The 14,273-nt window shown below is 36.6% G+C and overlaps 1 protein-coding gene across 22 annotated transcripts in view, besides 1 other annotated feature; it reads left to right on the top strand.

Annotated features, from left to right (window-relative positions):
* HERC4 (HECT and RLD domain containing E3 ubiquitin protein ligase 4) overlaps positions 1-14,273 on the top strand; it is a 153,379-nt gene that overhangs the window by 12,193 nt on the left and 126,913 nt on the right. The gene's annotated exons all lie outside the window — the stretch shown is intronic.
* Positions 10,373-10,573: a silencer, noted in NCBI's record as "peak985 fragment used in MPRA reporter construct". NCBI's record gives its function as "represses an SCP1 promoter by STARR-seq MPRAs in K562 erythroleukemia cells {active_cell/tissue: K562}" and the evidence as "EXISTENCE:reporter gene assay evidence [ECO:0000049][PMID:32103011]".

Below are 14,273 nucleotides of genomic sequence, written 5' to 3'. Positions count from 1 at the left end.
TGTTACAGGATGTATAAACAAGAGTGCTGTGTAGAGATAGTATACTAAGCAGATGGCAACAGGCAAGTTTGAGGCTTACTAAGGGAAGAGTAGTCCATGTAATTGAGATGTCTTGAGAATAGTGAGCAGGAAGGTTAGGCAAAATTGAGGTCAGATTGTAGAAATAAATTAAGGAGCTTGAATTTAATTTGGTGAATATCTATTCACTCATAGTTTGTAATGGGAATTACCATGGATTTATAAAGGAAAGGTTGAAAGGGAGAGAAATTGGAGGTAAAGAAATAGTTAGGCTGTGATGGTAGTCCTTTATTTTTTATTTATTATTTTTTTTGAGATGGAGTCTCATTCTGTTGCCCAGGCTGGAGTGCAGTGGTGCGATCCCAGCTCACTGCAACCTCCGCCTCCCGGGTTCATGTGATTCTCCTGCCTCAGCCTCCTGAGTAGCTGGGATTACAGGCACCCACCACCACACCCGGCTAATTTTTTTTTTTTTGTATTTTTAGTAGAGACAGGGTTTCACTGTGTTGACCATACTGGTCTCGAACTCCTGACCTCGTGATCTGCCCGCCTTGGCTCCCAAAGTGCTGGGATTACAGGCGTGAGCCACCGTGCCCGGCCGATGGTAGTCCTTTAAAGCAAGAAAGGAGCAGGTAGATGATGGAGACTTAGAGAGGCAGAAAGAATGGACAGGCTTTGGTAACCAGATGGAAATAAATAGTAAATGTAACGGAAAGAGCCAGGTATGATCCTAGGTAGAATCATTAGCTATAGATTAGTATATTCATTAGTATAGAAATAAGGAATCCAGGAAGAAGAGAAATATTCTCTTTTAAGAGGCAAGTTAAAAGATTCTGGTAAGGTGAATTTTGTGGTAAACTTAATAATATTAAGTGAGCAGTAAGAAATGTAGTATTGTAAGTGGGGAGAAAGATCAGGGCTAAATGTGTGAAGTGTTTATTTTCGATTTTGTTTTATTTTCAGTTCAGATAGGCTGACATTCCAACTGTAGACTTCTCCCAGTTCTAACCTGTTAAGTAATTAATAATTCATTAACAATACTTAACTTTGTGCTTTTGGAAGACTGCTTAAGGCACATGGTGATATAATACCGTTGTAAATTTAAAGTAATCTAAATGGTTGCCACCTCTATCTGTTTTGTAAACCTGAATTTTTATATACAGATTTTTTTTTTTTTTTTTTTTTTTTTTTTTAAATGGAGTCTCGCTCTGTCACCCAGGCTGGAGTGCAGTGGCACCATCTCGGCTCACTGCAACCTCCGCCTCCAAGGTTCAAGCGATTCTCCTGCTTCAGCCTTTCAAGTAGCTGGGATTACAGGCACCCGCCACCATGCCCGGCTAATTTTTTTGTATTTTTAGTAGAGACGTGGTTTCACCATATTGGTCAGGCTGGTCTCGAACTCCTGACCTGAAGTGATCTGCCCGTCTCTGCCTCCCAAAGTGCTAGGATTACAGGCGTGAGCCACTGATCCCAGCCCATTTGCTTATTCTTTCGCTGACAGAAACCTATTCCTTTTTTTTTTTTTTTTTTTTTTTTTTTTGAGACGGAGTCTTGCTCTGTCGCCCAGGCTGGAGTGCAGTGGCGCGATTGCGGCTCACTGCAAGCTCCACTTCCTGGGTTCATGCCATTCTCCTGCCTCAGCCTCCCGATTAGCTGGGACTACAGGTGCCTGCCATGACTCCCGGCTAATTTTTTGTATTTTCAGTAGAGATGGGGTTTCACCATGTTAGCCAGGATGGTATCGACCTCCTGACCTGATGATTCACCCGCCTTGGCCTCCCAAAGTGTCAAACCTATTCTTAATTACTGTGTTTGACTTCAGGACTTCCCTCCAGGTCTTACTGGAAACAAAGCTTTTGCAGTCAGAAGGTGCAATGACATAGGTATAAGTTGCTTTTGGTTCCACTAGTAGCTGAAGTAATTTTAACTATAAGTTGTATATATGCGGGCAATGTAGGCAAGAGCTATTGGGAAATACACCTTTTGCGATAATGCTGTTGGTTCTGTGAAAGGGAAACGGTGTGGGGAAGAAAGAGGTGAGGCTAAAAGCGGTCCTAAAGAGCAGAATTAGGAGTATCTGAAAAGCAACTGGAAGAAAGTTTAGCTACTTTACCTATACATTATTAGAAGACATTTGTGACTTTTTTTTTTTTAGGATGGCATAACGAGGATAAAGTAGATCTTAAATTGCTTCCCACAATTGATACAAAGTACAGTTGATCAATCAGCATATGTGTAATTTCTAATCCAAGTATTGCTTAGCTATAGATTTCATAACTAGGCTCTCTAATAGGAATGAACCTTATATTTTGAAGAGTTACTAGGTAGAAGCCTGAGTGGTTGATGTTACCTGTACCAGAACATAGAACTATTCATATTTTCAGTTAGGAAGTTGAATGAGCCTCTGCAACTGAGAATAAGGGGAAAAGAGAACACATTATAAGTTGGTACTGCATTGTATAGGGTGAAGAAACACATAAACCATATAATTGGAGAGAAATTTAGTGTTGAAATATTTAGAATGTATTATTTATGGCTGGACGCGGTGGCTCACGCCTGTATTCCCAGAACTTTGGGAGGTCGAGGCGGGTGGATCACAAGGTCAGGAGTTTGAAACTAGCCTGGCCAACATGGTGAAACTCCATCTCTACTAAAAAAAATACAAAAATTAGCTGGGTATGGTGGTGTGCATCTGTAATCCCAGCTACTTGGGAGACTAAGGCAGGAGAATTGCTTGAACCCGGGAAGCAGAGGTTGCAGTGAATTGAGATCGTGCCACTGTTATTTGTGTCACTGCACTCCAGTCTGGGTGACACAGCAAGACTCTGTCTCAAAAACAAGCAAACAAAAAGAACATTATTTACACCTTATAATGCTGATTTAAAAAAATAATAACAGTAAACCTCCATTATATGCCAGGTACTGTGCTGAATCCTTTATTCATTATCCAAAAGTCTTGTATCTATCCTGCAAAAGTATGTGTTTTGGTGAGAACAGTCAGACTCCAGAAGATTAAGTAATTCTGCCAAAGTTGAAATTAAAGCTGAGTAGGAACAAGAGCCAATTAGAACAATGGAAGAAAAGAAACCAAATTATTATAATAGCAAGAGAAACAAAATATAATATAATATTATTATAATATATAATATTATGATATATAATATTATATAATATATAATATTATGATATATAATATTATTATAATATATAATATTATGATATATAATATATTATAATATATAATATTATGATATATAATATTATAATATATAATATTATGATATATAATATTATAATATATAATATTATGATATATAATATTATAATATATAATATTATGATATATAATATATAATATTATGATATATAATATTATAATATATAATATTATGATATATAATATAATATATAATATGATATATAATATAATATATAATATTATGATATATAATATTATGATATATAATATTATGATATATAATATGATATATAATATGATATATAATATTATGATATATATTATGATATATAATATGATATATAATATTATTATGATATATAATATTATAATATATAATGTTATAATATATAATATTATAATATATAATATTATTATAATATATAATATTATTATAATAGCGAGAGAAACAAAACAACCCAGGAATAAAGTAGTAAGAAATGTGCAAGACCTATATGATGAAGACTTGAAAGCATTACTGAGGAGCACAAAAAACTTGAGCAAATGAAAACCACATTTATGGATAGGGACACTCAACCACATCAACCCGTCAATTTTCTCTAATTTGTAAATTTAGTATGATCTCAATGAAAATGTCAAATGGCTTTTGAGGGAAGTAGACAAATATATACTCAAGTTCATATGGAAAAAGAAAAAGCTAGGAAAATTCTAAAAACACAGTAATACGTATTAACTTTTTTTAAAGACAGTTTCTAATATACATTAAGTAAAATGAGCAAGGTGTAGAGAGTAATGTATAGAGAGCTACATTTTGGGTTTTTTAAACAAGGAAAAATACACACTTGCATTTGCTTTATAGATACACAAAAAACCCTGGAAGGATATATACAAGTAATAACATTGGTAACTGTTGGTGTAGAGGTGGGAAAAGAAGTGGTGAGAGTTAGATTGATGGAGAACATACATAGTAGACTCTCACTGCATACCTTTTAAAAAACAATGTAAATATGTTACCCATTCAATTTTTTTTTTTTTTGGAATTAGAGTGCTTACATAAAAATCCTGGCTCTGTTGCTAGATCTGTTTTCTTGGTCACATTGCTTAACCTTTCTGTGCCTAGGTGTTCTCTTCTCTAAAATTAGGATAATCATGCCAAACTCCTAGAGTAGCTGCAGGAGAATTACTTGAACCCGGGAGGTGGAGGTTGCAGTGAGCCGAGATTGCACCACTGCACTCCAGCCTGGTGACAGAGTGAAACTCTCGTCTCAAAAAAATAAAGATAAAACCTAACAGTGCAAAGAACAATGCCTAGCGTATGGTGAGTATTCAATAAGTGTTTGCCTAGAAGAAAAACCAATATTAGAGTGGGAATTTAAATTTAGGTCTGCCTTACGGTAATGTGGTATTATGCTGTTTCATATTTGCCTAATGACTGTATATTGTCCTGTAGGGAAACTATATTGCTTTCATAATTACCTCCAGATATACAATACAGATCTTTTCATTTATGCCTGAAGTTCAGACATTTATTCAACAGACAGTTGTCTTCCTGCTGTGCCCTTGATATTGTGCTAGGCATGGAAGTACTTCTTTGCCTTTAGTCTTCAATTAACCTTACTAGAGCTCTTATTCAAAGACTATGCCAAAATTTTAAAAAATTATTTGTTTATGGTACTTAGAGGTAATGCTTTATTGGAGCGATATAAAATGGATTGGATTCCTTTACCTTCAGACTTTAAAGATACAATAATGTGACCAAAAAAGAAAAGAATTAAAGATGCCTTTTTTTTTCTTGTGAGAAGCACATACGTGATGGAAGTTAGATTGATCATTGATTTTAAAAAGGTTATTTAATGATTAATAATTATAAGGTGGCCAGGCATGGTGGCTCACACCTGTAATCCTAGCACTTAGGGAGGCCAAGGCAGGCGGATTGCCTGAGCTTAGGAATTCAAGACCAGCCTGGGCAACATGGTGAAATCCCATTTCTACTAGAAATAGAAAAAATTAGCTGGGTGTGGTGATGCACGCTTGTAATCCCAGCTACTCAGGAGGCTGAGGCATGAGAATTGCTTGAACCCAGAAGGTGGTGGTTGCAGTGATTGCACCACTGCACTCTATCCTGGGCAACAGAACAAGACTCTGTCTTAAAAGAAAAAAAAAAATAATAAGGTGTAGTTTGTTTACTGATATTTTGAGGATCATAGGCACTTGAGTAAATATACTTAGTTATACTTTTTTTTTTTTTTTGAGACAGAGTCTCACCCTGTCACCCAGGCTGGAGTGCAGTGGCGTGATCTCGGCTCACTTTGACCTCTGCCTCCTGGGTTCAAGCGATTCTCCTGCCTCAGCCTCCCAAGTAGCTGGGATTATAGGCGCCTGCCACCACGCACGGCTAATTTTTGTATTTTTAGCAGAGACAGGGTTTCACCATGTTGGCCAGGCTGCTCTCGAACTCCTGACCTTGTGATTCACCCGCTTTGGCCTCCCAAAGTGCTGGGATTACAGGCATGAGCCACCGTTAGTTATACTTTTAAAACCAGCCCTGCCCTTCCCAAAATGATGAGCTGACCTTAAAATGTAGAATGCATGGTTTGATCATACTTCTGTACTCTTATTTTGCATTTGCTGTTATTTTCACACCAATCTGAATAATATTTTGGCTTAGTGTGTTGTTGATAAACTGTGTACCCACTGTTATACAGTGCTTGACTGTGAGAGAAATTTATATGTCAAGAAAATCAAGGACAAATATATATATATATTACATGGATGTTTGAAATTGTATAAAACTGTTAAGTTGTGGAGAACAAAAAAAGGAACATTTAAAATGGAAGCCATTGCAGTTAGCTATCTTTATCTGTCAAAACAAAATGCAAAAACAACTCCTTTTCCTTGTTTGTTAATGCTTGCACTTACTTGGGTTCAGACCTTAAATTCACTTTAGGATCTTTTCCTTTCCCGTAGCACCAACATTGACCCAGTTGCCAGATTTTGGTTATTTTTCTCAGTGACTGTCTTGTTTTTTAATTTCCTTTGCAAATAGCTAACTGTGTCGTTTTGAGTTAATTACTTTAAACTATTGGGTCCTTAGTTTCCTCCTCTCTCAATCTAAAATTCTTTGTTTTCATTCTGGACTATTACTGGTGTACATGAGAACTGTGGCCAGTAGCTCTTTAACTGATCTCCCTGCTCCAGTTCATTCTTATTAATTCCAGGTTAATCTTTCCAAGGTATATTTCAGTTTCTCTGTCTTGAAATTTGCCCAGCTAAAGTACCATCTCCATCATTACTCCTTGGTCACTCTTATAAGAATTCAAGTCACACATTTTGTGTACTACCAAGTACAGCCCATGGAATTCAATAACTTAATAAATTGCATCGCTGTCTTCCCATTACAATGATCTTCCCTACCATGTCATCTCCTGGATGGTGGAAAACCTTGTCTTACATGTCTTTGCTAAAACCACAGTGAAATACTATGGTGCACATAGAAGGAACTCAGGGCAGGGTTGTTGAATGAACACATGATCAATGTATTTTATTGGTTGTGTCTTAGGAAAGGAAGATCATAGACTCTTGTTTTAATGAACTTGATCACCATCAGCTACATTAGAGCGAAAAATTTAAAATTTAAAACTCTACTAATATATTCTGAGGGTTCATTCTTGGCTTGTCTTTGAAAGAAATTGAACTAAAGCAACTATATGACTGTATTGTATTATGTTGGAGTCTTTATATTTCACCTTTACCCCTTCTTTCCTCTTCAAAGCAACTAATTTTAGCAGTTCATAGACATCCAGATAGTACTTCTTTAAAAGAAAAGGGCCAGGCGTGGTGGCTTACGCTTGTAATCCCAGCACTTTGGGAGACTGAGGCCAGTGGATCACCTGAGGAGTTCAAGACCAGCCTGGTCCAACATGGTGAAACCCCCCCTCTACTAAAAATACAAAAATTAGCCGGGCATGGTGGCCGGTGCCTGTAATCCCAGCTACTCAGGAGGTTGAGGCAGGAGAATCGCTTGAACCCAGGAGGCAGAGGTTGCAATGAGCTGAGATCAGGACACTGCACTACAGCCTGGGTTACAGAGCGAGACTCTGTCTCAAAAAAAAAAAAAAGGATATTGTAATGCCCCTAAGTAAAAATAAAACTATATTTTGGAAGTAAATTATTGAAACATAACTATGTTATATTTGAATATTAACAAAAGGACAGTGGTTCAATAAATACAGAAATGTTTATAACTTAGTGCCTTTATCTGTGAAGCTTAAGGATAACTTCCTCATGGTGTTATGAGGATTAAATAAGATTAAGTAATTAAAGTGCTAAGCTTAGTGCCAGGCACATAAGCTCTTTATATACGTTAATTGTATTCCTCTGTATAAATATATAAAAGGGGTATGAACTTGTCAACATATGCATTACAAATAATTTCTTAATCTTGTTAGATGTTTCTTCATATAAACATTTTATTGTTTGCTGTCAACTAAGACACATAAGTTAGTGTATATTAACTTTAGATTTTATCAGGGAACCCACTAAAATACTTTCTTGGCTATGGATTGTACCATTCCAAATTGCTACTGGTAATTATTAGTAATAATTAGAGGGAATAAAAATTTTAATTTATTGATGTTTTAGTTTTGTTTGTTTCTTTAATTCTGAATTTGTCTTAAAGTTTGTGATGATTGTTAAGTCCATCATGTTAGAGATCCTTTTAAAAGTATCAGTTACCATCAGCCTGGGCAACATGGTGAAACCCCGTCCCTAATAAAAATACAAAAATAGCCAGGTATGGCGGCACACTTGTGTAATCCCAGCTACTCAGGAGCCTGAGTCAGGAGAATCGCTTGAGCCCAGGAGCTGGAGGTTGCAGTGAGCCGAGATCGTGCCACTGCACTCCAGCCTGGGCAACAGAGCGAGACTCTCTCAAAAATAAAAACAACATAAAAAAATAAAAATAAATATAAAAGTATTAGTAAACAATAGTTGCACTTTGTTTTATTTAAACAATAATTTCACTGTTATTTTTCAGTAATAGGGAAGTTTATGCCTTGAGTGAAGTAGCCTTTGGTTATTTTTCTCTGCAACAAAATAGCAATGTAATTATTTAAAGTTATTTAAATAATTAAATATTAAAGTTATATTTAAATCTGAATTACTCATTGATGTTATTCACTAATCCCAAGTGATTAATATCTTTATCTTTAAAAAGTCAGAATCATAAAATGGGACAGATATATGTCTCATGCCTGTAATCCCAACACTTTGTGAGGCTGAGGTGGGTGGATCACTTGAGGTCAGGAGTTTGAGACAAGCCTGGCCAACATGGTGAAACCTCATCTCTACTAAAAATACAAAAAATTAGCTGGACATGGTGGTGCCGGCTGGGCGTGGTTAGCTGAGGCAGGAGAATTTCTTGAACCTGGGAGGTGGAGGTTGCCGTGAGCTGAGATTGCACCACTGCACTCCAGCCTGGGCAACAGAGTTAGTGAGACTCGGTCTGAAAAAAAAAAAAAAAAATCATTAAATACTTCAACTGCACATTCAGTTGTTTAATAAAACAAAGAAGAAGAAAAGAAAAAAAAATTATAAAAAACCAGTGTTAAATTTGGTAATCATTTTCCCAATCTTTTCTCTGCATACATGTGTAAGAATGGAGCTCTACAGTATCTTTTTTATTTTATAGTATGGTATCTTGAGAACTGTAAAGTTAAATTTTTAGGCATGGATTTTAGGTATACTCTGCATTGCCCTAGTTTAGAGTTTTGAGTTGTTCAGAGAGAAGAGAAGGGGAAATCTGTATTTTTAACAACTAATGAGGCATGGTAGGACAGAGGATTTTGAAACTTAATCTCTGGTGGTTTTAAACATGTACTAAAGAGTTGAAATGATCTCTTTAAAATAGGTATTTGACAACGTATATTCCTTCTGACCTCAGTATTAAAATTTTTCAGTGTGGATATACTTGTCGCTCTTCATAAAGCTATTGATTCTAGATCCTGTTAACGTGAACACAAAACATCAACAGAGATTTTTGTTCTCTATATAAAATGATCAATGTTTTAGTTTGTGGTCATTCCTGGACATGGGCATTCACAGAACTGCCAAATACTTGAGTCAGCAGATGTGCACTTTATCAGGGGAGGTTCAAGGCAGTGCTCTGCCTTTTTGTTCTAGCTGTCATTACAAACAAGTGGCCTTTTTGTGATATATTTAATGCCACATTTTTTGTATATTTTGCCCATCTTATTGGTGATTTTGCTGTTTAAAATGGTCCCCAGGCCGGGTGCTGTGGCTCAAACCTATAATCCCAGCACTTTGGGAGGATTACGTGAGTCCAGGAGTTCAAGACTAGCCTGGGCAAAATAGGGAGACCACATCTCTACAAATAATTAAAAAATTAATGGGGTGTGGTAGCTCATGTCCGTGGTCCCAGCTACTCGGGAGGCTGAAGCAGGAGGATCACCTGAGCCTGGGAGGTTGCTGCTGCAGTGAGCTGTAATTTCACCACTGCACTCCATCCTGGGCGACAGAGAGACCTGGTCTAAAAAAAAAAAAAAGTGTAGTGCTTAAATACATATTAAATAAGATGTTTTAAAACAGAAGCATCCCTAAAACGAGATTATGTATTTATCAGTTGACAAAAATGTTCTGACCAGAGGCTTGCAGGAACCTTACCTTGTATTTTCTTCGGGGGCAATGATTCAATATTTGCTAAGTCAATGTTCATGGTGATTTTATAGGACATAACTACTGCAGATAGTGAGAATTGATTATTCCCAGCTAGACTAGAATAAAAAGACTAATAAGTGGAAGAATGATGTGGTTTCTTAGAAGGATGATGCAGTAGTGAAATAAACTATCAGTATATAGCATCCTTCTGTTTCTTCGTGCATTGTACAGAGTATTGTGTCATTTTTTAAGAAGGTATAAAACAAGTCTGGAGTCTCTATCTTTGTAGCTTTTATTTTTCTCTTTTTGTAGCTTTCGTTTTCCACAATTAAGAATATAGAATTTTTCACTCTGTGTTCATAATGGCAAAGAGAAGAAAATTGACAAGAGGGAGATGTTTCACAATTCAGACGTTATCAGAGAGAGCAGCACTTTATGATGGTGAAATTGATCATATAAGTGAACTCTTACACAATGAATTGGAGTTGATGATACTCTATATGAATTTTCACAAGCTTAATTGATAATATTTCTGAGGTCCCAGAGGACATAGGATATTTTTACCCAGTTACTCATTCAACAGGAAGTACTTTGTTATGTAATATTTTGCAACAAGAACCTGGACTTGTCTATCCTGTATGTGAGACAGTATTCTTTTTTTTAATGATATTTGTGCAGAAAAATGTACTTGATGTAGTTCGTAAGCAAACAAACACTGAAGTTGGATTTGCCTACAAAGGTGATTGGAAGGACACAGATGATGTAGAAATGAAAATTTTCATTAGGTTGATCATTTTAACTGTTTTAAAAATAAGCCTAAAAATGAAAGTCTTTCTTTAAGAAGCAAAGAAGGATGCCCTCTTTCTCCTCGGTAAAATGATGCGCCATTAGTGTTTTCAAAAGTATGATTAATTATAGAAGTGTAAGAAGAACCAGAAGTAATGATGAACAAGGACCTATTAGAGATGTATTCGAAGTCGTTATCTACAAAGTGGATATGTTTCATCTGTCTAGCACTTTATCTTTTCAGGTTTTGCCTATGTCTCTGAAAAATGAATTCAGAAGGCAATTTTTTCCACTTGTGTTTTCCTTTTTGTGCCTCCAAAAATTAAATGTCTCTTTTTTTTTCTTGAAGAGAAATACTGTGACTCATAAATACTGATAGGAACACAATGATACTTTTTTTTCACCCTTTTTATATGAACAGTTTGAAGCATAAAGAAAAGTTGAGGCTGGGCGCGGTGGCTCATGCCTGTAATCTCAACACTTTGGGAGGCTGAGGCGGGCGTGTTGCTTGAGCTCACGAGTTCGAGATCACCCTGGGCAACATAGTGAAACCCCACCTCTAAAAAATACAAAAAATTAGCCTGTAGTCTCAGCTACTCAGGAGCCTGAGGTGGGAGGATCACTTGAGCCTCGGAGGCGGGGTTGCAGTGAGCCGAGATCACGCCACTGCACTCCAGCCTGGGCAACAGAGTGAGATCCTGTCTCAAAAAAAAAAAAAAAAGAAAAGAAAAGTTGAAAGAATAGTGTTAACATTGGCCGGGCATGGTGGCTCACGCCTGTAATCCCAGCACTTTGGGAGGCCGAGGCGGGCGGATCACGAGGTCAGGAGATTAAGACCATCCTGGCTAACATGGTGAAACTCTGTCTCTACTAAAAATACAAAAAAAAAACCAAAAAAAAACTAGCTGGGCATGGTGGCGGGCGCTTGTAGTCCCAGCTACTCAGGAGGCTGAGGCAGGAGAATGGCGCGAACCCGGGAGGCAGAGCTTGCAGTGAGCCAAGATCGTGCCACTGCACTCCAGCCTGGGCGACAGAGCGAGACTCTGTCTCAAAAAAAAAAAAAAAAAAAAATAGTGTTAACATTTTGCCATATGTTTTGTCTGTGTGTATTTATATTTTTAAATAACATACCTTTTTATTTCAGAATTACTGTTGACTATAATGATTATATGCTGTTATTAAACCTTTCCAACAAGTTTAGCATCAAACATTTGTAATTTCAACATTTTGTAGCCCTTATTTATCAAAGGATTCAATAGTTTTTTTAATGGACTTGTGTGGCAAGTTTTTTCTTTGTTTTTTTTTTTTTTTGGTCTTTGGGTTTTTCTACTGATCATCAATTGATGTGGTTTAATCCCCCCTTAACTCTCCGTTTTCTAATTGTGTTATTGGCCTTTAAAGGTAAATGTACTTTGGTGATAGTACCTGGAACATAGTAAATAATAAATGTTAGCTGTTAGATTTGGCATGAGTTTTTTTTGCATCCCTTTCTTACACGGAACATTACTGGGCCAGGCTTTGTAAGTGAATTTTTTTGTTTGTTTTGCTGGATTCATTTATTTCTCTTCATTCTTGCTTGTCATTATCTCCCTTTTTAGGCCATCTTGATTTGAGTATTCAACCAGAATTTGACTTGGATGTAAAATGTCTCAACAAACCATTGATATGACTTTCTAGGATACTGGGGAAAAATGGTTGAGATTATTCACTTTGATGAGCCATTTGGAAAAAAATAGATAACTTTTTAAAAATTATAGTGAAGTTATCAGTTTTGTGTATTTGATGTCTAAAAAGTCAGCTATTAAATATTATTCTCAAGTTGTGTGTTTTTATAATAATGTATTGCTGAAGTCATTATCCATTTTCAAAGTTAGTATCCCAATAATTTGATGGGGCTAAAATTCTGAAAGAACAAAAATTATCTTCAGTATTTAGTATGTTGAAAAAGATTAAAGAGCTCAGATTAGTTTTAAAATGAAAACAATGGTTTTAATACATTGCTTTAACTACTTACTCTAAGCGTCTGTTTCTTTTATATTTTTTAAGTTATATTTTATTTATTGTTTGTTTTGAAAAGACAATATATATTCACATGGTTCAAACATCAAAGCAATTTAAATACACATTGAGAAGCTTGGCTCTTACATTTGACCACGCTATTGTTCCCTCTGCCTATATCCCTTCTAAGTAACTACGCTTGTTAGTTGTTTTTTTGTTTTTGAGAAAGGGTCTCACTTTGGTTGCCCAGGCTGGAGTGCAGTGATGCAGTCTTGGTCACTGCAGCCACAGGCTCCCAGGATCAGGTGATTCTCCTACCTCAGCCTCCTGAGTAGCTGGGATTATAGGTGTGCATGGCTAATGTTTTGTTTTTTTAGTGGAGATGGGGTTTTTGTTGTCCAGGCTGGTCCTGAACTCCTGGACTCAACAATCTGCCTGCCTCAGCCTTCCAAAGTACTGGGATTACAGGCATAAGCCACTGCGTCTGGCCTTGTTTGTTTTTTGTTTTGAGACCGTCTTACTATCTCCCAGGCTTGAGTGCAGTGGCACAATCACGGCTCACTGTAGCCCTGACCTCATAGGCTTAAGAGATCCTCCCACCTCAATTCCCTGAGTAGTGGAAACTACAAGCATTTGCCCCCATGCCTGGCTAATTTTTAATTTTTTTGTAGAGACAGGGTCTCATTATGTTGCCGAGGCTGGTTTCGAACTCCTGGATTCAAGCCATCCTCCCGCCTCAGCCTCCCAAAGTGCTAGGTGGCATGAGCCACTGTGCCTGTTCGTTTGTTAGTTTCCAAAGTGTTTTTTTTTTTTTTTTTTTTTTTGTGGCAGTGTCTCACTCTGTCACCCAGGCTGGAGTGCAGTGGTGTGAATTTGGCTCACTGCAACCTCTGCCTCCTGGATTCAGGCAGTTCTCATAGTGAGATTACAGACACCCACCACCTAGGCTGGTCTCTAACTCCTGGCCTTAAGATCTGTCCACCTCAGCCTCCCAAAGTCCTGGGATTACAGATGTGAGCCACTGTGCCCGACTTATCTTTCCAAAGTTTTAAAAATGTAGATAAAATATTAGCAAATATGAATATGTTTTCTTCTTCCTCTTACACAAAAAATAGCAAATCATGTACACTATTCCACATCTTATTTTTTTTCTTCCCCAATGGATAATATATCCTGGGGATCTTTTCATAACAATGTGTAGTTTCCTCTTTTCTTGATTTTTTTTTTTAATTGCAGAGCATAATATTTCAGCGTGTAGATGGAATCTTTTGGATACTGGAGAATTTCCAGTGTTTTGCTATTGTATATAGTGCTGCAAATATATATATATACACATACACAGAGGTATATCTGTAGAACAAATTCCTGGAATTGGAATTGCTAGGTCTGAAGGGTGAATGCATGTGTTTTGTTAGATATTGCCACATTTCTCTTCATAGAGGTTGTACTGTTTTGTTTTTAGACTAACAGTATACAAGAGTGCCTTTTTCCCCATGAACTGTTATCAAACTTTTTGATTTTTATCAGATGAATAAATGGTATCTTGGTATGTGGGTTTTTTAAAAAACAAATTTAAAAAATACCCTTTCTTTTTAGA

This window comes from Homo sapiens, chromosome 10 (genome assembly GCF_000001405.40).
Source record: "Homo sapiens chromosome 10, GRCh38.p14 Primary Assembly".
Lineage (NCBI taxonomy): Eukaryota > Metazoa > Chordata > Mammalia > Primates > Hominidae > Homo > Homo sapiens.
Note: the sequence above shows the minus strand (reverse complement) of the source record. Positions and strands in the feature narration are given on the sequence as shown.